Source organism: Homo sapiens, chromosome 12, assembly GCF_000001405.40.
Source record: "Homo sapiens chromosome 12, GRCh38.p14 Primary Assembly".
Lineage (NCBI taxonomy): Eukaryota > Metazoa > Chordata > Mammalia > Primates > Hominidae > Homo > Homo sapiens.
In genome coordinates this window covers 45,504,067-45,530,599 of record NC_000012.12, presented here as the reverse complement: position 1 = coordinate 45,530,599, position 26,533 = coordinate 45,504,067, and the positions used below count along the sequence as shown (strand labels likewise).

At 39.7% G+C, this 26,533-nt stretch overlaps 1 long non-coding RNA gene across 2 annotated transcripts in view; it reads left to right on the top strand.

The window, feature by feature from the left end:
• The window catches only part of LOC105369743 (uncharacterized), a 178,153-nt gene that overhangs the window by 38,245 nt on the left and 113,375 nt on the right, over window positions 1–26,533 (top strand). For both annotated transcript variants that reach the window (XR_944886.3, XR_944887.3), the window contains exons 2-3: window positions 11,447–11,546; window positions 12,189–12,282. This is a non-coding gene — a long non-coding RNA (uncharacterized LOC105369743). The remainder of the gene's footprint in view (window positions 1–11,446; window positions 11,547–12,188; window positions 12,283–26,533) is intronic.

Below are 26,533 nucleotides of genomic sequence, written 5' to 3'. Positions count from 1 at the left end.
TTGTAAAACCTAGAGTAATTACTAAAAAATTAAGAAAAGGTATAAAAAAATCCAATTGTGAAAAAAATTGAATTTTTAGAAGTAAGATTAGAATGCTGGTTACCAGAGTTGTTGGAGTGGGGGGTGAAGATGGGGAGATTAAGAATGAAGAGAAGTCGACCAAAGGGTATAAAGTTCAAATTAGGCAGGAGGAATAAAAGTTTTTAAGATCTATCATGTAGCAAAATGACCATAGTTAATAGTAATGTAATGTATACTTCAAAATTGCCAAAAGAATAGCAATGTTAGATGTTCTTGCTACAGAAAAAAAAGCTAAGTATGTGAAGTGATGGATGTGTTGATTGGCTTGATATCATTATTCGGCCATATATACATATATCTAACACATTGTACTCCATAAATATGTAATTATTATTTTTCAAATAGAAATAATTTCAATAAATTCAATTGTGGAGATATAAGGCAGGAAGAAAAAAAGCAGGCATAACACATAAAAGAAACAAAAAAAAACCAGATGAATACATAGAAAACACCTAGCAAGATAGGCTGTAGCACAATCTTATCAATAATTATATTAAGCATAAATAGTCTAAATGTACCAATTAAAAAACAGAGATTGGAAGAATGGATTTTGAAAGATGATCCAAATGTTTATAAGAAACTTATTTCAATAATAATGACCTAGGTAGGATGAGAGTAAATGAATGGAAAAATATATTCCATGCAAACACGAACAAAGAGAAAGCTGGAGTGGTCATTTTAATATCAGACAAAGTAAAATTCAGAACATGAGCTATCATAAAGCATAAAAGAAGGACATTACCTGATGATAAGAAGTGAATTCACTATGAATACACAAAAATCCTAAAAGTGGATGAGCCTAACAACAGAGCTTAAAAACTGATAGAACTGAAAGAAGAAATAGACAAATTCACAATTAAGTTGGAGGTTTCAACACTCCTCTTTCAAGAATTGATAAAGTGGCAGAAAATCATTAAGGATTTAGAACACCTGAAGAACTCTATCAACCCACTTGACCTAATTCACATTTATAGTACACAAAACTCAACAATGGCAGAATATATATTTTTTAATTGAACATAGAATATTCACCAAGGTAGACCATGTTCTGGCCCATAAAACAAACCTCAACAAATTTAAAATAATTAGGATCATGCAAGGTAGCTTCTCTGATCATGATAAAATTGGATGAGAAGTCAATAACAGAAAAATATCTGGAAAATCCCCAAATATTTGGAAATGAAACAACACAACTCTAAAGAATCCATGGGTCAGAGAAGAAGTCATAAGGAAAATTAGAAAATGTTTTTAATAAAATGAAAATGAAAATAGAGTATATAAAAATTTGTAGAGAACAATGAAAACTGTAGGTAAAGGGAAATGTATAGGATGTAATTAGCAATAGAAACACTTTTCTTATTTTTCTTTCCTTATCACATTGGTCACAACCTCCAATACTGTATTGAACAGTGTGGATAACAATGCTATCCTTATCTTTTCCCTAATCATAAAAGTTATGCATATAAAGTTTTTTCATGAATTATAATATTTAGGGTTTGGGTATATATTAATACATTTTACAAAGGATGTTCTTTACTATTTCTAACATTTTTTTAATGGACACTGAACCTCATCAAATGTTTTTCTGAATCAATTATTTATTTATTTATTTATTTATTTATTTATTTATTTATTTATTTGAGATGGAGTCTTGCTCTGTCGCCCAGGCTGGAGTGCAGTGGCCTGATCTGGGCTCACTGCAACCTCGGCCTCCTGGGTTCAAGTGATTCTCCTGCCTTAGCCTCCTGAGTAGCTGGGATTACAGGTGCGCACCAACATGTCCCACTAATTTTTGTATTTTTAGTAGAGACGAGGTTTTACCATGTTGGTCAGGCTGGTCTCAAACTCCTGACCTCTTGATCCGCCACCTCAGCCTCCCAAAGTGCTGGGATTACAGGCATGAGCCACCGTGCCTGGCCAAATAAATTATTTTATTATTATCATTTTCTCCTTTAGTTTATTAATACCACAAATTACAATACTATATTTTTATTTTTATTTTTATTTATTTTAAAAGAAATATAGAATTTAATATATTTTCTGATACTGATTTTCTGATGATGTTCCTTACATTCTTGATTATGATGTATAATTCTTTTTTTTTTTTTAAGACATAGTCTTGCTCTGTTGCCAGGCTGGAGTGCAGTGGTGCAATCTGGCCTAACTGCAACCTCTGCCTCCCAGGTTCAAGCGATTCCCCTGCTTCTGCCTTCCAAGTAGCTGGGACTACAGGTGCGTGCCACCATGCCCGGCTGACTTTTTTTTTTTTTTTTTTTTTGTAGTTTAGTAGAGACAGGGTTTCACCATGTTGGCCAGGATGGTCTCGATCTCCTGACCTTGTGATCCGCCCGCCTCAGCCTCCCTAAGTGTTGGGATTACAGGCGTGAGCCACCACGCCCAGCCTATCATGTATAATTCTTAATTAACTTATTTATTAGGCTATGCAATATATTTTATTAATTAACTAATGTGATGGTTGATTTTGTGGGGTTTTTTTTTACTCTTTTTTTTTTGCATAAGTTATTGAGGTATTTGTTACATGAGTAAATTCCTTAGTGGTGATTTGTGAGATCCTAGTGTGCCCATCAGCTGAGCATTATATACTGCACCATATGTGTTGTCTTTTATCCCTTACCCCCCTCCAAGTCTTCCCCCTAAATCCCCAAAAGTCCATTGTATCATTCTTATGCCTTTGCATCCTCATAGCTTATCTCCCACGTACCAGTGAAAACATACAATGTTTGGTTTTCCATTCCTGAGTTACTTCACTTAGAATGATAGTCTTCAGTCTCATCCAGGTCATTGCAAATGCTGTTAATTCATTCCTTTTCATGGCTCAGTAGTATTCCATCATATATATATTCCACAGTTTCTTTATCCACTCGATTGATGAACATTTGGGTTGGTTCCACAATTTTGCAGTTGTGAATTGTGCTGCTATAAACATGCATGTGCAAGTATCTTTTTTGAATAATGACTTCTTTTTCTCTGGGATTGCTAGATCAAATGGTAGTTCTACTTCTAGTTCTTTAAGGAAACTCCACACTGTTTTCCATAGCGGCTGTACTAGTTGACATTCCCACCAGCAGTGTAGAAGTGTTCTCTGATTGCCACATCCATGCCAACATCTACTGTTTTTTGATTTTTTGATTATGGCCATTTTTGCAGGAGTAACATGGTATCGCATTATGGTTTACATTTGCATTTCCCCGATCATTAGTGATGTTGAGCATTTTTTCATGTTTGTTGGTCATTTGTATATCTTCTTTTGAGAACTGTCTCTTCATATCCTTAGCCCCCTTTTTGTTGAGATTGTTTTTTTCTTACTGATTTGTTTGAGTTCATTGTAGATTTTGGCTATTAGTCCTTTGTCAGATATATAGATTGTGAAGATTTTCTGCCACTCTGTGGGTTGTCTATTTACTCTGCTGACTGTTCCTTTTACCGTGTGAAAGCTCTTTAGTTTAATTAGGTCCCAGCCATTTATCTTTGTTTTTATTGCATTTGCTTTTGAGGTTTTGGTCATGAAATCCTTGCCTAAGCCAATGTCTAGAAGGGTTTTTCCAATGTTATCTTCTAGAATTTTTATAGTTTCAGGTCTTAGGTTTAAGTCCTTAATCCATCTTAAGTTGATTTTTGTATAAGGTGAGAGATAAGGATCCAGCTTCATTCTCCTACATGTGGCTAGCCAACTATCCCAGCACCATTTGTTGAAAAGTGTGTCCTTTCCCCACTTTATGTTTTTGTTTGCTTTGTCAAAGATTGGTTCGCTGTAAGTATCTGGATTTATTTCTGGGTTCTCTATTCTGTTCCATTGGTCTATGTGCCTATTTTTATACCATACAATGCTGTTTTGGTGACTATGGCCTTGAAGTATAGTTTGAAATCAGGTAGTGTGATGCCTCTAGATTTGTTCTTTTTGCTTAGTCTTTCTTTGGCTATGTGGGCTCTTTTTTGGTTCCATATGAATTTTAGAATTGTTTTTTCTAACTCTGTGAAGAACCATTCAGTATTATGTTGGCTGTGGGTTTGTCATAGATGGATTTTATTACATGAAAGTATGTCCCTTGTATGCTGATTTTGCTAAGGGTTTTAATCATAAAGCAATGCTAGATTTTGTCAAATGCTTTTTCTGCACCTATTGAGATGATCATGTGATTTTTGTTTTTAATTCTGTTTATGTGGTGTATCACATTTATTGATTTGCATATGTTAAACCATCCCTGCATCCCTGGTATGAAACCCATCTGATCATGGTGGATTATCTTTTTGATATGTTGTTGGATTTGGTTAGCAAGTATTTAGTTAAGGATTTTAGCATCTACTTTCATCAAGGATATTGGTCTGTAGTTCTCTTTTTTAGTTGTGTCTTTTCCTGGTTTTGGTATTAGGGTGATGCTGCCTTCATAGAATGAATTAGGGAGGGCTCCTTCTTTCTCTATCTTGCGGAATAGTGTCAAAAGGATTATTACCAATTCTTTTTTGAAAGTCTGATGGAATTCTGCTGTGAATCTGTTTGGTCCTGGACATTTTTTTGTTGGTAATTTTTAAATTACCATTTCAATCTTGCTGTTTGTTATTGGTCTGTTCAGGGTATCTAATTCTTCCTGATTTAAGCTAGGAGGGTTGCATTTTTCAAGGAATTTATCCGTCTTTTCTAGGTTTTCTAGTTTATGTGCATAAAGGTGTTCATAGTAGCCTTGAATATACTTTTGCATTTCAGTGGTATCAGTTGTAATATCTTCTGTTTCATTTCTCAGTGAGGTTATTTGGATTTTCTCTCTTCTTTTCTTGGTTAATCTTGCTAATGATCTATTGATTTTATTTATCTTTTCAAAGAACCGGCTTTTTGTTTCATTTGTCTTTTGTATTTTGTTTGTTTTGTTTGTTTCAATTTCATTTAGTGCTGCTCTGATCTTGGTTATTTCCTTCCTTCTGCTGGGTTTGGGTTTGGTTTGTTCTTGCTTCTGGAGTTCCTTGAGGTGTGACCTTAGATTGTCTGTGCTCTTTCAGACTTTTTGATGTAGGCATTTAGGGCTATGAACTTTCCTCTTTGCACCACGTTAGCTGCTCCCAGAGGTTTTGATAGGTTGTGCTGTTATTGTCATTCAATTCAAAGAATTTTTTTAATTTCCATCTTGATTTTGTTTTTGGCCCAGTGCTCCTTCAGGAGCAGGTTACTTAATTTCCATGTAGTTGCATGGTTTCAAAGGTTCCCTTTGGAGTTGATTTCCAGTTTATTCCACTGTAGTCAGAGAGAGTGCTTGATATTATTTCAATTTTCTTAAATTTATTGAGGCTTGTTTTATGGCCTATCATATGGTCTATCTTGGGAAAGTTCCATGTGCTGTTGAATAGAATGTGTATTCTGCGGTTGTTGTTTGAAATGTTCTGTATATATCTGTTAAGTCCATTTGTTTAGGTTGAGTATAGTTTAAATCCATTGTTTCTTTGTTGACTTTCTGTCTTTATGACCTGTCTAGTGCTGTCAGTGGAATATTGAAGTCCCTCACTATTATGGTGTTGCTGCCTTTCTCGTTTCTTAGGTCTGTTAGTAATTGTTTTATACATTTGGGAGCTCCAGTGTTAGGTGCATGTATGTTTAGGATTGTGATGTTTTCCTGTTGGACCAGGCCTTTTACCATTATGTAATATCCCTCTTTGTCTCTTTTAACCGCTGTTGCTTTAAATTTTTTTTGTCTGATATAAGAATAGCTACCCCTGCTCACTTTTGGTGTCCATTTGCATGAAATGCCTTTTTCCACCCCTTTAAGTTTATGTGAGTTCTTATGTGTTAGGTGAGTCTCCTGAAGACAGCAGATGGTTGGTGAGTTCTTATCCATTCTGTGGTTCTGTGGAGCATTTAAGCTGTTTACATTCAATGTCATTATTGAAATGTGAGGTACCATTGCATTCATCATGCTCTTTTTTGCCTGCATACCTTGTTTTTTGTTTTTGTTTTTTTAACTTGTATTTTTGTTTTATAGGTCCTGTGTGATTTATACTTTAAAGAGAATCTGTTTTGATGTGTTTCCAGGATTTGTTTCAAGATTTAGAGCACCTTTTAGCAGTTCTCGTAGTGGCTTGGTAATGGTGAATTCTCTCAGCATTTGTTTGTCTGAAAACGACTATATCTTTCCCTCATATATGATGCTTAGTTTTACTGGATACAAAATTCTTGGCTGATAATTGTTTTGTTTGAGGAGGCTGAAGATAGGGCCCCAATCCCTTCTAGCTTGTAGGATTTCTGCTGAGAAATCTGCTGTTAATCTGATAGGTTTTCCTTTATAGTTTACCTGGTGCTTGTGTCTCACAGCTCTTAAGATTCTTTCCTTTGTCTTAACTTTGCTTTTTTTTTAAATTTTATTTTAGTATTATTATTATACTTTAAGTTGTAGGGTACATGTGCACAACGTGCAGGTTTGTTACATATGTATACATGCGATATGTTGGTGTGCTGCACCCATTAACTCATCATTTAGCATTAGGTATATCTCCTAATGCTATCCCTCCCCCCTCCCCCCACCCCACAACAGTCCCTGCTGTGTGATGTTCTCCTTCCTGTGTCCATGTGTTCTCATTGTTCAATTCCCACCTATGAGTGAGAACATGCGGTGTTTGGTTTTTTGTCCTTGCGATAGTTTGCTGAGAATGATGGTTTCCAGTTTCATCCATGTCCCTACCAAGGACATGAACTCATCATTTTTTATGGCTGCATAGTATTCCATGGTGTATATGTGCCACATTTTCTTAATCCAGTCTATCGTTGTTGGACATTTAGGTTGGTTCCAAGTCTTTGCTATTGTGAATAGTGCTGCTATAAACTTTGGATAACCTGATGACAATGTGCCTAGGTGAAGATCTTTTTGTGATGAATTTCCCAGGTGTTCTTTGTGTTTCTTGTATTTGGATATCTGGGTCTCTAGCAAGGCTGGGTAAGTTTTCCTTGATTATTCCCCCAAATATGTTTTCCAAGCTTTTAGAATTGTCTTCTTCCTCAGGAACACTGATTATTTTTAGGTTTGGTTGTTTAACATAATCCCAGACTTCTTGGAGACTTTGTTCATATTTTCTTATTCTGTTTTCTTTGTCTTTGTTGGATTGGGTTAATTCAAAGACCTTGTCTTCGAGCTCTGAATTTCTTTTTTCTACTTGCTCAATTCTATTGCTGAGACTTACCAGAGCATTTCACATTTCTAAAAGTGTGTCCAAAGATTCCTGATTTTTTTATTGTTTTTTCTTTAAGCTATCTATTACATTGAATATTTATCCCTTCACTTCTTATATCATTTTTTGGATTTCCTTGCATTGGGCTTTGCCTTTCTCAGATCCCTCCCTGATTAGCTTAATAACTAACCTCCTGAATTCTTTTTTCAGGTAAATCAGGGGTTTCTTCTTGGTTTAGATTTATTGCTGGTGAACTAGTGTGATTTTTGGGGGGTGTTGACAAACCTTGTTTGTCATATTACCAGGGCTGGTTTTCTGGTTCCTTCTCATTTCTGGTTCCTTCTCATTTGGCTTCCTTCTGTCAGAGGGAAGGTCTAGGGCCGAAGGCTGTTGTTCAGATTCTTTTGTCCCACAGGGTCTTCCCTTGATGTAGTACTCTCCTCCTTTTCCTGTGGAAGTGGCTTCGTGTGAGCTGAACTGCAGTGATTATTGTCTCTCTTCTGGGTCTAGCCACCCAGCAAGTCTACTTGGCTCCAGGCTGGTACTGGGGGTTGTCTGCACAGAGTCCTGTGATGTGAACCTTCTATGGGTCTCTCAGTCATGGATACTAGCGCCTGTTCTGGTGGAGGTGACGGAGGGTGCAATGAACTCCATGGGGATCCTTAGCTTTGGTGGTTTAGTGCTCTATTTTTGTGCTGGTTGGCCTCCTGCCAGGAGGTGGCACTTTCCAGAAAGCATCAGCTGTAGTAGTGTGGAGAGGGACCAGAGGTGGGCAGGGCCCTAGAACTTCCAAGATTATATGTCCTTTGTCTTCTGCTACCAGAGTGGGTAGGGAAGGACCATCAGGAGGTGGGTGGGGCAGGGCTAGGCTTGTCTGAGCTCAGACTCTCCTTGGGCGAGTCTTGCTGCAGCTGCTGTGAGGGATGGGGGTAAGATTCCCAGGTGACTGGAGTTGTGCACCCAGGAGGATTATGGCTGCCTCTGCTGAGTCATGCAGGTTGTCAGGGAAATGGGGGAAAGCCGGCAGTCACAGGCCTCGCCCAGCTCCCAGGCAAACTGAAGGGCCAGTCTCACTCCCACCATGTCCCCCACAACAGCTCTGAGTCTGTTTTCAGGTGGAGAGGGAGTTGGGCTTGAAAACTTGCCCTAGGCTTTCAGCCTCCCAGCTGCGAAAGAAAAGGGCTTTAGGCCTGGCACGGTGGCTCACGCCTGTAATCCCAGCACCTTGGGAGGCCAAGACAGGTGGATTGCCTGACGTCAGCAGTTTGAGATCAGCCTGGCTAACATGGTGAAACCCCATCTCTACTAAAAATACAAAAGTTAGCCAGGCACGGTGGCGCATGCCTGCAGTCCCAGCTACTCGGGAGGCTGAAGCAGGAGAACGGCTTGAACCCGGGAGGTGGAGGTTGCAGTGAGCCGAGATCGCGCCACTCGGCGCGACCCAGCCTGGGTGACAGAGTAAGACTCCATCTCAAAAAAAAAATAAATAAATAAATAAGAAGAAAAGGGCTTTAGTTCTTCCTCTGCCTGTGAAGTCTGCAAGCTGGAATCACGCCCTCCCTCGAGTTCTGGCCAGGAGGCTTCTCACCCTGTTCAAATTGTTACAAACTTCTGCTAGAGAAGTCCTTCTCTCTGTGGAGTTTTCCCCCTGCTCCTCTGGCCATTCTCCTGATGGATCCCTGTGGTGCCAGGCAAGAATGGGCTGCTTAGGGATCCAGCAAGCTCCCAGTGCCTTTCTGCTACTTCCTCTACCCTTGTATTTCGCTCGGCTGAGCTCTCTAACTTGACTCAGCTCCAGGTAAACTCGGGAACTTCTGCAAACACATCTTCAGTTTCTCCAGTGGGTGTGTGTGTTCGGGAGAGGAGGGTCTCCCTTTCCCACTTCCGCGTTTGGGGCACTCACAGTATTTGGGGTGTCTCCCAGTTCCTGCAGGAGCAGTCTGCTTCCTTCAGAGGGTTTGTGGGTCCTCTCAGGATTGCTGGTCTATTCTTGCAGTTGATCTGGAGCTAAAATTTACAATACCGATGGTTGATTTTGGGTGTCAACTTGACTGAATTAAGGGATTCCCAGATAGCTGGTTAGGTATCATTTATTCTTAATCATTGCACTACTTCTCCTCAATGCTTCACCAGGCACTGAGCCCACCCCTCTTCTGCTGAAAGGGCAACCCAGGTGGTTTGGCCTTTTACTGGCCTTTTCACTGGGCTGCCCCAGGCATGTCTGTGAGGCGATTTCCAGAGGAGATTGGTATGTGAGTTGGAAGACTAAGTGGGGAAGATTCACACTCAATAGACACAGGCACCATCCATTTGTCTGGGGACCCAGATGGAACAAAAAGGAAGAGGAAGGACAAATTCTTGCTCTCTCTTTCTTCTGGAGCCAGGATGTCCTTCCTTTCTTGACCTTGGATGTCAGGACTCCAAGTTCTCAGGCTTTTACACTATGGGGCTGGGACCAGCTAGGCCCACAACTTTTGGGTCTCGAACTGAGAGCCATGCTACCTGCTTCCTTAATCTGATGATTTCAGACTTGACAGGGCCACCCTACTAGCTTTCTGCTTCTCCAGCTTGCAGACAGCCTATTGTGGGATATTTCTGACTCCATAATGGAATGAACTAATTACTATTATCCTAATAAATCTCTTCTCATCTCTCTCTCTATATATGTGTGTGTGTGTGTGTGTGTGTGTGTGTGTGTGTGTGTGTGTATCGATAGGATATAGAGACATATAGCCTATCAATTCTGTCTCTCTGGAGAATCCTAAGACAACTAAATATATTTTATGTATTAAATATATTTAACATTGTAGAGTTGGTTCACTAATATTTTACTTAGGATTTTTGAATCTTCATGCATAGGTAAAGGGGGCTATAATTTCCTTTTTGTATTCTCCTTAGTGTTTCCTTCTTTAGCCGTCACCCTTTCATTGTGCCCACTTTCTCTGAACAACATTGCTTCCCCATCATGCTTCTTCCTCTAGAAGGCTAGAAGGCTTTCCTCTGGTAATTTTGGTGCAAACAGAAAATTCTTGTTAGTTATTATACTGAGAAATTTAGTTTCCTTAGTCTCAAAAATCTTATTCCAGGATAAACTCAGTGCATTGTTATTCATAGTCAAAATCCCATTAATGTGTTTTCTTGGGTTTCCTTTGTAAGCTCTACTAAGAACTAGAAGAAATTTTGAAATGGCAGCTTTTCTTTAATGCTTTAAAATTCACATTTTAGAAAGGCCTCAGGTTAGAGAACCTTTGCTTTTCAACACAACCTATAGTTTCTTTAAGTGGAGGGGCACCCGAGTATTTTGTCCATTTCCAGAGCAAATCCTTGGAGATGTGCCCCTGCATCACATCCCAAACTAGTTAGTCATTTCAAGTAGAAAGGAGGTACATGTGAAGAAAGAACTTGAAGAATTGTATTTCTGTATCTTTGTGTGTGTGTGTGTGTGTGTGTGTGTGTATGTATGTGTGTGTGTGTGAGGAAGAGAGAGAGACAGAGAGACAGGATCTTCTCTGTCATCCAGGCTGGAGTGCAATGGCACGATCTGAGCTCACTGCAACCTCCGCCTCCCAGGATTAAGCAATTCTTGTGCCTCAGCCTCCTGAATAACTGGGATTACAGGCATGTGCCACCGTGTCTGGCTAATTTTTGTATTTTTTATAGAGACGGGGTTTTGCCATGTTGCCCAGGCTGGTCTCAAACTCCTGAGCTCGGGTGATCCACCTGCCTCAGCCTCCCAAAGTGCTGAGATTATAATAGTGAGCCACCACGCCCGGACTTGTTTCCATATCTTAAAAAAAATAAAAATAAAAAAGCATGGAAATATGAGTTCTTCTGTTCCTTGAAACTGGGAGTGCATTAATTCATTCTTTCATTCAGCAAATATTTTAGGACCTACTATGTGTCAGGCTCTTTTCTAAGGGCTGAGAATTTGAGGCTAAAAAGCAGGGAACAAAAAATTAAATAAACTGACTTCATGGAGCTTACGATGTAGTGAAAGAGACAGACCCAACACATAAATACACAACTTAATACCAGGTAGTGGTAAGTGCTTGGAAGTAAAATAATGTCAGATAAAGAGACAAACAAAAATGGCATGGAACGCTTTTATGAATTATGATCTGGAAAGGACTCTCTGAGGCTTTCTTTTCCTGTCCTTGTTTTATTCCTTATTTCATATCTTTCCTTTTCTTTCCTTCAGTCATGCAGACACCTGATGGAAGAGTCTTCCAGGCAGAAGGAAGGACAAATACCCTTGATATACATGTACTTGGCCGGCATGAGGAAGAGCAATGTGGAAGGTATGGTTGGAACAATGTGAGAGAGGAAGTGAGTACAGGGAGACCAAGTTTGAGACACAGGCAGGGCCAGGTGTTGAAAAGTTTTTAGAGTGCCTGCTTTCCTTGAAATACCATGGGGTGCTTACTCTTGGACACGTATACAGAGGGATACACTCAGATGTAGCTTCTAGTAGAGTCCTGGGTGAGGGGCGTGTTTTGTGGTTTTAATTGTAAGACAATAAAAACGCACAAGGGGAAATTGCTCAAGCTAGATAAATGCAGGGATCCATTGCTGGCCCCACAGGTACCCACAGGGAGGCTGATGAAGGCTAAGATCAATGCAAGGGCTGCTTCAGGGGAATTCAGAGGCGTGTTATATGTCTTATTTCCGGGTGCAGTAGCAGTAACTGGGTCACGCCAGCATTTTTTCAAAAAACCACCTCCCCCGCTTCAGATTACTACCGGCTTCCCTCTTCTAGTAAAAGAGACATCTGCTTCTATGTATAGAAGAGCCTTCAGGCCCTGAATTATAGTGTGGTAATTCATGCTTAACTGTTTTAATGGCTGCATAGCCCTCAGCCTTGCATCTCCTAACGCAGGAGATACTAATTATTAGGCTATAATTCACACTGTGTGAGTTCTTATTGCTCATCTTTCTTGTAGGATACAGATAGTTGGGAACATATAGTGCCTGTGAATGACCAGTATGCTCACTCCAATAACATCAGGCAAGCAATTCCACATAATACTGAAGAAGGTAAGAGTGTAAAGACAGATAACAAAATGGCTTTTGAGAGACAAGGATCATTTTTAACAAAGTGCATTAACTAATTGACAGTGGTAGCAACTGTCTACAGTCTGCTCATACAAAAACTTTTTTTTTCTTTTTGAGATGATGTCTCGTTCTGTCACCCAGGCAGGAGTGCAGTGGCCTGATCTCGGCTCACTGCAACCTCCGCCTCCCAGGTTCAAGCGATTTTCCTGCTTCAGCCTCCCAAGTAGCTGGGATTACAGGCGCCTGCCACCATGCCCAGCTAATTTTTGTATTTTTAGTAGAGACGGGGGTCTCACCATGTTGGCCAGGCTGGTCTCGAACTCTTGACCTCAAGTGATCCACCTGCCTTGGCCTCCCAAAGTGCTGGGATTACAGGCGTGAGCCACCGTGCCTGGCCTGCTGATACAAAAACTTTCTATCAAACCCTTGTAAGGACAAGGGCTTATAAACTAAAGTACAGCCTTTTAAGGGAGACTGCAAAAAGCACTGACATTTGTCTGCAAATTCACCTGCAGATCTGATGAATCTTTTGTGATGGATTTGGGAAACATATTATTTTCTCACAGCTTAAGGAAAAAGTTGTGGTGTCTTTTGAAGGTTCAAGAACTAGAACTTACGAAGCCATGGGAATGATACAAATTGGTAGAAAACAATAACATTCTCACAGCTGGACCATCTGGTGGGTTATTCAGACATAGCTTTGTATATCACTGAGCGGCTGCCATAAAGCACCAGATGAAGATAAGAGCTGGCGTCTACTTCTAATTTTCCAAGGCTTAAATTGCTTTAGTGCCTTAAGTTCTGGAAATGAGAACTTCATCTGCAACAGCCTCAGCATCTTCCAAAATGTAATTTTTTTAAACAAATTATGATGTCAGTAGAACTTTAGGATAAGAACCTTACATCTTCATTATCAACTCTATGCCAGTAAAGTGCGTGTGTCTTTTAAATAAATGTCATAATCTCTACCATACGCTCTTCTGTGTAAAGAACACCTTCTGCTTTTATTTACCTTATTTTTAAAAGCTTTTCTTTCTTTAGCATAGCATAATGGGTACAAGAATACTTCTGAAACCAGATTGGCAGTGGATAAATCATGGATCTACTGCTGACTGGCTATGTGGCAAGTTACTTATCCTTTCTGGGCCTCAGTTTCCTAATCTTAAAATGGGGATAATAATAATGCCTTATAGGATTGTTGAGAGGAATAAATGACTTAATTAAGAGCTCAGCACACTACCTGTCCCATAGAAAACACTATACAAATGTTCATCATTGTCAAGACAATAATTATTATTATTATTATTGCTAAATTGAATTGGATGTAGTCTCCCTGACCCTCCAGTTCTTTCTTGATGGCCAGTACAAATGTTCACACATAAAAGCCTTCAATAATTAACTAATAAAGCCATATTGTGTTATATAAATATGAACAACAACAGCTCATTTATTGTGCTGCCATTGCATAACTGGCGCTGTTCTAGGTGCTTTCCAAAGTCATCAGGTATCTATTAAGTGCTTTCTAGGTGACTGAGATATTGGGGATATAACAGTGGAACAGAAGGCTTGGTTCCCATCTAGGAAGTAGGTATTATTAGCATTCTTTTGCAGGTGAAGAAATTGAGTCTCTATGTATTTTTAAAACTTGCTTATTGCCACTCTGTTAGTAAGTGGCAGCTTCCCAAAGGCTGTCTGACTCCAAAGCCTGGGTTCTACCCACTACATTTTGCTTTCTCCCTTGATATAAAATCTAGAGTCTTTGAGACTCAATAATGGAAGCCAAATTTGGGACATTTTGAGCACTGTAACAAATAATGTTTGTAATGGGTTGTAATATGTTGAATTAAAAAAATACATGCATTATAAAGGGAGTGGGGTGGGAGAAAAAGCTTTTCTTTAAAGAATGCCAACTAATATGTAAAAAGAATGATAGAATTCAAAAATCACTATTTTGTAACTCCCAATTTAATAACTGATTTAGGCAAGTATTAATCATAAATTCTAAAGTTATTGGGTAAAAATATATTAGAGAATTGGTTATTCACACAGTCTCAAAGTATCACTCCACAGATTATCTACTAGTTACACAGGGAAAAGTTACCTTACCAATAGATCAAATTCAGCATCTCTAACAATAACACAAGCTAGGCCGGGCACGGTGGCTCACCCCTATAATCCTAGCACTTTGGGAAGCAAAGGCAGGCAGATCACCTGAGGTCAGGAGTTCGAGACCAGCCTGGCCAACGTGGCAAAACCCCATCTCTACTAAAAGTACAAAAATTAGCCAGGCGTGGTGGTGTGTGCCTGTAATCCCAGCTACTCAGGAGGCTGAGGCAGGAGAATCACTTGAACCCGGGAGGTGGAGGTTGTGATGAGCCAAGATTGCGCCATTGCCCTCCAGCCTGGGTGACAGAGTGAGTCTCCATCTCAAAAATAAATAAATAAATAAATAACACAAGTTACCTTAGGTGATGCGATAAGGAATATACAGCATTGTCTGTGTAATACTCTTGTAATATTCTGACTCTAACCATGAGGAACAACCAGACATATTTGGGATGTAGAAAAGACATTTTACATGACAACTGGCTAGGCTCTTTAAAAAAGATAGTGTTATGAAAAACAAAAACAAAAAGACAAGGAGTCTAGCACATGTTGAAACAAACTAAAGAAACGTAACAACAAAATGCAATGCTAAAAACTTGATTAGATCCTGGATCAGGAAAAAAAGCAGTTATAAAAGACATTGTGGCCTCAAATAGGAAAATTTGAAGATGGACTATATATTAGATGATAATATTGAATTGTTAAATTTATTTGTTGTGATAATGTTATTATGGGGTTATGAAGGAGAATATCTCATTCTTAGGATACTCATGCCAAAGTATTTAGGGATAATGTGTCATTGTGTCATGATGTCTGAGACCTAATTTGAGATACTTCAGCTCAAGATATGTAAGTGTGTGTGTGTGTGTGTGTGTGTATGTCTGTGTGTGTGTGTGCATGTCTATGGGGAGAGAGAAAGAAGGGGTAGGATTAAGCAAGCAAATGTGGCAAACATAGAAGGGTATACAGGTATTCTTTGTATTATTCTTTCAACTTTTTGTAAGTTTAAAATTTTTCAAAATTGAAAGTTGGGAGAAAAAAATTACTAGCACTACAGATCTTTGCAGACTAAATAAATCTTGGTAATGCAATGCCTCCCTTAACAAGGCTAAGCAAAGATGAAATTCTTTTCCTTAGTTCCAGTGATAGGTACCTACCTCATAGTTTTCAGATTTACAGGTCTTTGTTGTGTCTATTGATGAACAGAATTTAATTAGTATCTCTGAATCCAAATTTCTCAGAGGGTGAATCTAGTTAATCAAACTCTGTTCAAGTTCATTCTGGTTCTGGACTAATCGCCAGTAACTAAGGTACTCAGAATCTTCGGCAAACACAAATGTGTGGTGGAACCTGTCCCTGTGAGTGGGGGGGGGATTGACAGTACCTGTTGGCCAGACTCCATGGAAAGTGTCTGTTACAAAGGGTGGATCCTGAGCTACATTGACATAAACGATGAATAGGAGTTTGACAGGAAAGAAAGTGTAACGAGTAGACACTCAGATAAGAATAGCATCTGCTTAGGCATTATTCTCCAGGGCAGTATTCACCACATTAAAAAAAAAAATACCCACCTCAAACATATACATATTTATTAATAAATTAGGCATTTATTCTATTTTATATTGTAACACACACACAAAGATAGAAATTAACATGTATGAAATAAAAATAGATATAAACTGAAGTTCATGCATTTTCTTCCCCTACTCCAATGTTTTATGCACTCTATTTTGCAGCCACTTCAGTGATTGCTGTTTAACATTGGAATTCATTTGTGAGCACCTACATGTATCTTTCTATATCAATACCTGAAAGAGTTTTTATCAATAAAAAAATTGAAATATTTAATTTTATGTGTTTCAGAAGGAATTGCACATAATTTTTCATAAAGAATGTGTTTTCCCCACCAATGTCTTAAGCTTATCGATGTCTGTGCCTATCCTCAAAATAAGATAGGTACCTTAGGTTGCTTCCTTTCCATTGGCCTCTACTTCTCTGTCTGACATCCCCTTGATTTTGGAATACTATAATTATACTTTTCATTATGGACTTTATGAATATATTACTTATTCATTGTCATTGTTTCAACTAGTGATCTTCAAACTTTTTTGGCTGTGTGCTCATATTAGGTTTTTAAAAATTGAGCAAGTATGTACATATACTTAATTTTAAATTACATTATATACACTATAGTAATAGATTATATACATGTAAAGGTTTCGTGAAGAATTTGTTTTTAGAATGCGGATTGAAAAATAAATATAAGTAGACATGTTAATTGCTTCCTATAGCATACCCTCTATCAGCCAGGGCTCTCCAGAGAAACAGAACAAATAGAACACATATAGAAACAGAACAAATATACCCATATATGTATGTATATCGCAAGAGAGAAAAAAGAGATTAGTTTTAAGGAAGGGAATTGGCTCATGTGATTGTGGAGGCTGGCAAGTCCAAAATCTGCATGGTAGGCTGGAGACCTAGGGAAGAGTTGATGTTGCAGTTTGAGTCTGAAAGCATTTTGCTAGCAGAATTCCCTCTTCCTTGGGGGAGGTCAGTCTTTTTCTTAAGGCCACTGATTAGATGAGTCTCCCCATCACGTTCTGGAGGGTAATCTGCTTTAGTTAAAGTCTACTGATTAGAATGTTAATTTTACATAAAAAATGCCTTCACAGCAACATTCAGATTGTTGACCAAATATCTGGCTACCGTGTCTTAGCCAAGATGTAAAATTAACCACACATCACCAGATCCTTTTATGTTGTCCTGGCTTTCATTTTTCACACTTTGGAGCTCATAGGTTTGACAAATTATATTGTTTAAAAGCTATTACTATGGTTTGAATGTGTCTCCCCAAATTTTATGTGTTGGAAATATAATACCCCTGCTGTTATGAATAGGTTTATGGATTAACAAGGCTTCTTCCCTCATGAATGGAGAAATGTTGCTATCACTGGAGTGAGCTCATTACCATGGGAGTGGCTTTGTCATAAAAGTGAGGTCTCTCTGGCTTTCTTGCTCTTGTCCTCTCATCATGTGAATGCCTTCCACCATGTAATGATGTAACACAAAGGCCCTCCCCAGATGCTGGCACCATGCTTTTAGACTTCTCAGCCTCCAGAACCATGAAATTAAATAAACCTTTTTTCTTTATAATTTGCTCAGTCTATGGTATTCTGATATAGCATCAGATAATGGACTAAGAAAGAAAATTGGTAACAGGAAGGGAGTTGTTGCGATAACCAATACCCGGAAATGCGGAAGCAACTTTGGAACTCGGAAGATGCTAGAAGAATTTGGGGAATGATATGATTTGGCTGTGTCCCCACCCAAATCTCATCTCAAATTTTAATCCAAATTGTAATCCCTATGTGTCCACTGAGGAACCTGATGGGAGGTGATTGGATCATGGGGGCAGTTTCCCCCATGCTGTTCTCATGATAGTGAGGGGCTTCTCATGAGATCTGATGGTTTTAAAGTTGCTAGTTTTCCTGTGCTCTCTCGCTCTCTGGCTCTCTCTCGCCTACCATCATGTAAAATGTGCCTTGCTTCCCCTTCACCTTCCACCATGATTGTAAGTTTCTTGAGGCCTCGTCAGCGATGTGGAGCTGTGAGTCAATTAAACCTCTTTTCTTCATAAATTACCCAGTCTCGGATAGTATCTTTATAGCAGTGTGAAAATGTACTAATACAGAGAATTGGTATTGGGATAGTGGGGTATTGCTGTAAAGACAACCTGAAAATGTGGAAGCAACTTTGGAACTGGCTAATGGGCAGAGGTTAGAACAGTTTGGTGCAGAAGGGGACAGGAAGATGAGGGAAAGTTTGGAACTTCCTAGAGACTTGTTTAATGGTTTTGATAAAAATGCTGATAGTAATATGGACAATAAAATCCAGGCAGAGGTGGTCTCAGATGGAGATGAGGAACTTATTGGAAACTAGTTCCCAATAAGTCAATAGCAAAGGTCACTTTTGCTATGCTTTAACAAAGAAACTGGTGGCATTTTGCCCCTACCCTAGAGATCTATGGAACTTTGAACTTGAGAGAGATAATTTAGGGTATCTGGTGGGAGAAATTTCTAAGCAGCAAAGCATTCAAGAGCTGACCTGGTTTTTCCTGAAAGCATGTAGTTATATGTGCTCACAAAGAAATGGTTTGAAACTGGGACATATGTTTAAATGGGAAGCAAAGCATAAAAGTTTGGAAAATTTGTAGCCTAACCATGTGGCAGAAAAGAAAAACCCATTTTTTGGGGAGGAATTCAAGCCTCCTGCCGAAATTTGCATAAGTAACGAGGAGGAGCTGACTGTTAATACCAAAGACAATGAGGAAAATGTCTTCAAGGCATGTCAGAGACCTTCACTGCAGACCCTCCCATCACAGGCCCAGAGGCCTAAAAGGGAAAAATGGTTTTGTGGGCCAGGCCCAGGGCCACAGTGCTCTTTGCAGTCTTGGGACAACAAGTGCCCTGCACCCCAGCTGCTCCAGCTCCAGCCGTGGCTAAAAGGGGCCAAGGTACAGCTGGGGCCATTGCTTCAGAGGGTGAAAGCCCAAAGCCTTGGCAGCTTCCACATGGTTTTGGGCCTGGGGGTGCACAGAAGACAAGAGTTGAGCTTTGGGAGCCTCCACCTAGATTTCAGAGGATGTATGGAAATGCCTGGCTGTCCAGGCAGAAGTCAGCTACAAGGGTGGGGCCCACATTGAGAACCTCTGCTAGGGTAGTACTGAAGGGAAATGTGGGGTTGGAGCCCCAACACAGAGTCCTTACTGGGGTATGGCCTAGTGGAGCTGTGAGAAGGGAGCCACCATCCTCTAGACCCCAGAATGGTAGGTCCATCAACAGCTTGCATTGTGCACCTGGAAAACCAGAAGGCACTCAATGCCAGCTCATAAAAGCAGCTAAAGGAACTGTACCCTGCAAAGCCACAGGGGTGGAGCTGCCCAAAGCTATGGGAACCCACCCCTTGCATCAGCATGCCCTGGATGTGAGACATAGAGTCAAAGGGGATTATTTTGGAGCTTTAAGATTTAATGATTGCCCTGCTAGATTTTGGACTGCATGGGGCTTGTAGCCCCTTTGTTTTTCCCATTTGGAATGGGAACATTTACCCAATGCCTGTACCCCTATTGTATCTTGAAAGTAACTAACTTGTTTTTGATTTTTACAGGCTCATAGGCAGAAGGGACTTGCCTTGTCTCAGATGAGACTTTGGACTTGAACTTTTGAGTTAATCTGGAAAGAGTTAAGTCTTTGGAGGACTGTTGGGAAGGCATGATTGGTTTTGAAATGTAAAAAGGACATGTGATTTGGGAGGGATTGGGGCAGAATGATATGATTTGGCTGTATTCCCACTCAAATCTCATCTCGAATTGTAATCTGAATTGTAATCCCCACGTATCCAGGGAGGGACCTGGTGGGAGGTGATTGAATCATGGGGCAGTTTTCCCCATGCTGTTCTCATGATATTGAGGGATTTCTCACAAGATCTGATGGTTTCAAAAGTGGCAGTTTTTCCTGTGCTCCCTCTCTCTTGCCTACCATCATGGAACACATGCCTTGCTTCCCCTTTGCCTTTTGCCATGACTTTAAGTTTCCTGAGGCTTCCCCAGCCATGTGGAACTGTGAGTCAATTAAACCTCTTTTCTTCATAAATTACTCAGTCTCAGGTAGTATCTTTATAGCAGTGTGAAAAGAGACTAATACAGAGAAGTAGGCTAGAAAAAGTCTGTACTAGCTTGAATGAAATGTTAAGAGTGATTTTGATGTGGGCTTGGAAGAAGAGAAGACTAAGGATAGTCTGGAACTTCTTAGAGATTACTTAAGTAATTGTGACCAGAATGTTGATAGAACTATGGACACTAAGGCCATTCTGATGAGGTCTTATGTCTCAGATGGGACTGAGAAATAAGGTATTGGAAATTGGAGTAAAGGCCATTCTTGTTATAAAGTGGAAAAGAACTTGGCTGAACTGTGTCTGCGCCTGAAAACTTTATGGAAAGTGGAATTTAAGAGTGATGAACTGGAATATCTAGTGGCTTAGCCAAGTTGACACACAAAATTAACCACACACCACCATATCCTCTTATGTTGCCCTGGATTTCATTCTTCATGCTTTAGAGCTCACAGGTTTGACAAATATTGGAAGAAATATTTAAACATCAAAGCATTCAGGCTGCTGCATGGCTACTTTTAACTGCTTATAGTAAAATAAGAGGAAAGAGATGATTTAAAGATATAATTTATAATTAAAAGGGAAGCAGAGTGGAAAGATCTGGAAACTTTGCAGCCTGGCTATATGGTAGACAATGAAAGGGCTTTTTAGCAGAGGAAACCAAGGGTGTGACCAAGCAACTGATTGATACAGAAATTAGTGTGAATAGAACAAAGCCGGAGACTGTTCATCAGGACAATAAGAGAAAAACCCCAAAGGCATTTCAGAGATCTTGAAGGCTGTCTCTCCTAACACAGGCCCAGGGTTCTAGAGAACAGAATGGTTTTGGAGGACAAGCCCTTGCTCAGGGCCACCTTAGGTTTTGCTCCCTGCATTCTGAAGCTGTTCTTTCCAGCTACCCACGCTGTGGCTCAAGTGGGCCCAGGTGTGGCTTGACCCGCCACTCCAAAAGGTACAAGTGGTAAACCTTGGTGGTGCTCATGAGGTGCTAACACTGCTGATTTAAGTAAAGCAGAATGCAAGAGCTGTGGGGGCATTACTTCCTCTTTCTAGATTTCAAAGGATGTTGCAAGCAGCCTGGTAGCCCAGGCAGAGCCTTATTGCAGGAGTTAGAGCCACTGCAGAAAGCCCCTTCTAGGGCAATGCTGGGTGGAAATGTGAGTCAGAGCTGGTGCTGCCATGGATAACCCCCACTAGAACAATACCTAGTGGAGCTCCAGAAGCAGAGCCACGCCTAGAACCTGAGAACTGTAGTTACCAGTGTGCCACACTAGCCTGGGAGAACTGCAGGCATGAGACTCTAACCCATGAGAACTGTTGCATGGCATGAGCCCAGCAAAGCCATACAGATGGGGCTGCTTGAGGCTTTAGGACATAAATCCTCCAGTGTGTCCAGGACGTGGCACATAGAATGAAAGATCATTCTGAAACTTTAAGGTTTAATGCTGTTTTGTCTGTTGATTTTTAGACTTACTTAGGATCAGTAATCCCTTTTTTCTTACTTCTTTCTCCCTTTTGGAATGGGAATGTCTATCCTATGCCTGTCCCACCATTGTATTTTGGTGGGACAATGAAGTAGACAACTTGTTTTTTTGTTTTGTTTTGTTTTGTTTTCTCCTTCCAATAATACTTTATTTATTTATTTATTTTTTAATTATTATACTTTAAGTTTTAGGGTACATGTGCACAACGTGCAGGTTTGTTACATATGTATACATGTGCCATGTCGGTGTGCTGTGCCCATTAACTCGTCATTTAGCATTAGGTATATCTCCTAATGCTATCCCTCCCCCCTCCCCCCACCCCACAACAGTCCCCAGTGTGTGATGTTCCCCTTTCTGTGTCCATGTGTTCTCATTGTTCAGTTCCCACCTATGAGTGAGAACATGCGGTGTTTGGTTTTTTGTCCTTGCGATAGTTTGCTGAGAATGATGGTTTCCAGTTTCATCCACGTCCCTACAAAGGACATGAACTCATCATTTTTTATGGCTGCATAGTATTCCATGGTGTATATGTGCCACATTTTCTTAATCCAGTCTATCGTTGTTGGACATTTAGGTTGGTTCCAAGTCTTTGCTATTGTAAATAGTGCTGCTATAAACATACGTGTGCATATGTCTTTATAGCAGCATGATTCATAATCCCTTGGGTATATACCCTGTAATGGGATGGCAACTTGTTTTGATTTCACAGCCTCACAGCTGGCGGGAATTTGCCATAGAATGAATTATGCCTTCAGTTTCACCCATATCTGATTTAGATGAGACTCTGGACTTTTGAGTTGGTGCTGGAATGAGATAAGACTTTGGGGTTATTGGGATGGAGTGAATGTATTTTGTATGTGAGAAGAACATGAATTTTGGGGGCTGAAGGTGGAATGCTATGGTGTGAATGTGTCCCCCAAAAGTTCATGTGTTGAAACATACTCCCTCTGCATTCATGAATAGGTTGTCAGCTCTGCCTTTATAAATGGATTAATGTTTCTAACATGGGAATAGGCTAGTTATAAAAGCAAGCTCTCTCTGGCTCTCTTGCTCTTGCCTTCTCACCACATGATGCCTTCTGACAAGTTGTGGTGCAACACGAGGCTCCTCACCAGATGCTGGTGCCTATTTGCCCTTGGACTTCCCAGTCTCCACAACCATGTGACAAATAAACTTTGCTTTATAAATTACTCAGTTTGTAGTACTGTGTTATAGCAACAAAAAACAAACTAATATAGCTATCAATAATATTTCTTCCTATATTTTGATGCTTTCTCCTGGATTTATTGATCTTCTTATTGGACTATTTCCCCTCAGGGTGCTTTTAAAATAGGCTTTCATGTGCTAACCTATTTTTTAACCCCCTTTCCATAAACCTTTTTTATTATGTTTGAGGATAAATTTATTGTAGGTTTATATTCAAACAAGGGTTTAGCTAGATATAAAATCTTTGCTTTAATAAATGTTGATTTTATCAAAATTTTGAAAATAGTACCTCATTATCCTCTTACATTCAATGTTGTTTTTGAGAAGTTTAATATTAATTTGACTCTCATTCCTATGCAAGTATTTGCTTTTCTCACTGGAAGAGCTTTAGAATTTTTCTTTGTTTTTGATATTCTCAAATTTTACTATCATGAATTTTGTTGTAATTTTTTCTTGTGTTTTATGTGAGTTCTAGTCTCTGTGATTCCTTTAAATTTGGGGTCTTACATCTTGATTATTATTTCTTCAAAACTTTCCTGCTCTGTTCTCCCAAACCTGATCACTTTTATCTCCTTCTGGAACTTCTATTATGTAGATCTTAACATTTTAAGATCCCTCCATATTTTTAAAATTTATCTTTATGTTTTCTGTCTTTAGTCCTTTCTGATAGTTTTCCATAGAGTTCTTTAACCTGATTTTTCAATTTACCATTTTTTTCTTTGGTTCTATCTATTCTACTGTACAATTTATTGATTGAATTCTTTATTTCAACAAATTTTTTTTTTTTTTGAGACAGAGTCCACCCAGGCTGGAGTGCAGTGGTGCAATCTCAGCTTACTGCAACCTCCAACTCCTGGGTTCAAGCGATTCTCCTGCCTCAGCCTCCCGAGTAGCTGGGATTACAGGCCCCCACCACCATGCCCAGCTAATTTTTCTGTTTTTAGTAGAGACAGGGTTTCACCATATTTGTCGGGCTGGTCACAAACTCCTGATCTCAAATGATCTGCCCACCTCAGTCTCCCAAAGTGCTGGGATTGTAGGCATGAGCCACCATGCCCAGCCTATTTCAACAATTAAAAAAAAATATCCATTGTCTCCAATTGGCCTTCTTTCAAATTGCTTTTTCTGTTTCATGTTTCTAATTGTCTCCCTTATCTCTTTAATAATTTTATTTTACATTTTAAATTCTTGTTCTATCTGGTTATTTAGGGGAAAACTCTTAAACCATGTTTTTCCTCTGATCTCACACCACAACAATCATCAATATAGAAGAAAACTTCTAGGACCAAATGTGGGGGTTTTCTTCCACACACCAAGCAGTAGACAAGAGCTGAGCATCCTCAAATTCAATTCCAACACTATCTACCTGGAGATAGCATCAGAACTTAGAGGGTGAGGGCTCAGTCCCCAAGACTGCCCCTTCCCACCCCCAGACACAAGTTGCAAGTCCAGGCCTACACAGCTTCTGATCAACCAGGTTCAAGTTGGGGTTCCCATGACCCCTTCTTTGGGTTCGATTAATTTGCTCAAGTGGCTCACAGAACTCAGGAAAACACTTACTTATGTTTACCAGTTTACTATAAAGGATATTACAAAGGATACAGATGAAGAGATGCATAGGGCAAAGTACGGGCAGGAGTGAGGAGCTTCCATGCCCTCCCTGGCCACACCACCCTCCAGGAACATCTACATGTTCAGCTATCTGGAAGCTTTATGAACTCTGTCCTCTTGGGTTTTTGTGGAGGCTTCATTATGCAGGCATGATTGATTAAACCTTGGCCACCGGTGATCAACTTGACCTTCAGCCTCTCTCGTCTCCCACTTTAGGGGATGGTGCTGAAAGTCCCAACCCTCTAATCATGCTTTGCTCTTCCTTTTCGGTAACCAGATCCATTCTGAAGATATGAGTCAACATCAGCATACAAAAAGATAGCACTTTAGAGACTCCAAGGATTTTAGGAGTTGTATGTCAGGGAATGGGAAGGAAGACCAAATATTTTTTCACAATATCACACTGGTTAATTAATTCTGCTTTCTCTTATATAAAATGTTTGATTTTTGGCTTTTATTTTATAATGCTCATGCTTCTCAGGCATCTTATTTTTTCCTTCTGGGAATTAACATTCACTGTGATATACCAGCTACTTTGGCTGATAACATATACTTGAGGGACAGGCAAAAACCACAGGCCTCAGCTTATATTCACCTAAATGTATGAGGAAAAAACAGGAATTACGATGTAGAGCCTCTGGTATTTCAATCATTCCCATTTACCTGCCTCTACACACACACATATACCCAGAACCTCTCAGTAAAATCCTGCCAATGCTCATTTTCAAGGCTACCTCCTTCTGTTGTAATTACCCAGCCTATAACAGGATAGGGAGAGGAGAAGGTTCTCAAGGCCAGCTAGACCACATGCACCTGTTGTCACTCACCTTAACTAGGATCTAATACTTCCCTAGCCTTACTCTATCCGCTGGCTGAAGTTGGTGCTGCTGCCTATCTCTCCCACCATGGCCATAAGACAGGCCTATGGAAATGTGAGGCATAGAAAAAAATACAAATAGAAAATGTCAAACTTCCCCCAAACTACCATCATCTCTGCATCTGGCTCTCCCTTGTGCAAGGCTAACATTTCTTCCCCAAACTGGAACTCAACTATGTCTGTCTCCCTAAAGATTTCCCACTTTAGGGGTCCATTAACTAGTCTCTTGCTTTTGTCACATATCCAGAGTTGGGGTCAGAGGAGGGAGTAAGTGTTTTTTTGCAATCTTGCTTCACTGGCAGCCAATCATAAATGATCTAATTTATAACTATAGTGTGGGCCACAAATACTACAGTCATGTTGGTCTTGGTGTTGCTCAGATTCTCTTCCTTTTACATTGTACTGATTCTGTCTCATTCTCTTCCTCCTGTGTTGGATTGTCTCTGCCTCATTCAGGGATTTATTTGGCATTCCATGCTGGTCTATATAAGGCTAATCACGTTCTTTCCTCCAGGGGAAGTCATCAATCTTTATGGCCGCAGTTGCGCAAAATCTAGTCCTCAACTGGGAGCATCCATCAATCGCATTCACATTTGTCTGGTTTAAGACTCTGTGTCCTGGGATTTTTGAATTGGCTATGAATTTCCTAAAGTTATGTGTAAAATTTGAGACTGTCTGGAGCGGGTCTGTAACTTTCATCTGATATTGAAAGGAGTTTGCATTCTTTGAAAAGATAAGAATTAATACTCCAGTTATTTTCACTCCTATTTGCCATTTTATAAATGTGTTAGCTAGAACTCACGGAGGTGTGGCTCTCCTTTGCAAAATGTGGGAACAGATTAGCTATAGGGAGGAGGGAAAGGAGAGGAAGATAAGAGAGGCAGTGTAACCTAATGATTAAGAGCATAGACTTAAGCACCAGATTCCCTGTTTTGACTCCTAAAATGGCCATTTACTAACTTTGTAGCCTTTGATAAGTTACTTAACCTCAGTTTCTTCATTTGTAAAATGGGAATAATAACAATAATTGTTGATACGTCATAGGGTTGTTTTGAAAATTAAATAATATTAAAAAGTAAAAAGCACTTAGAATGGTATCTTGCATCAAATATGTTATTGGTATTTTTATTATTACTAAATCTGCAAGGTTTCTAACTTAGGGGACTGGGTGGATAGCAATGCCATGAATATTCATCTAGGTATCCTGTGTAGGCCTACTCCAGTGCCTTGCACGTCAGAGGAATTCCATAAACTGAGTGGAACACAATTGGATCTC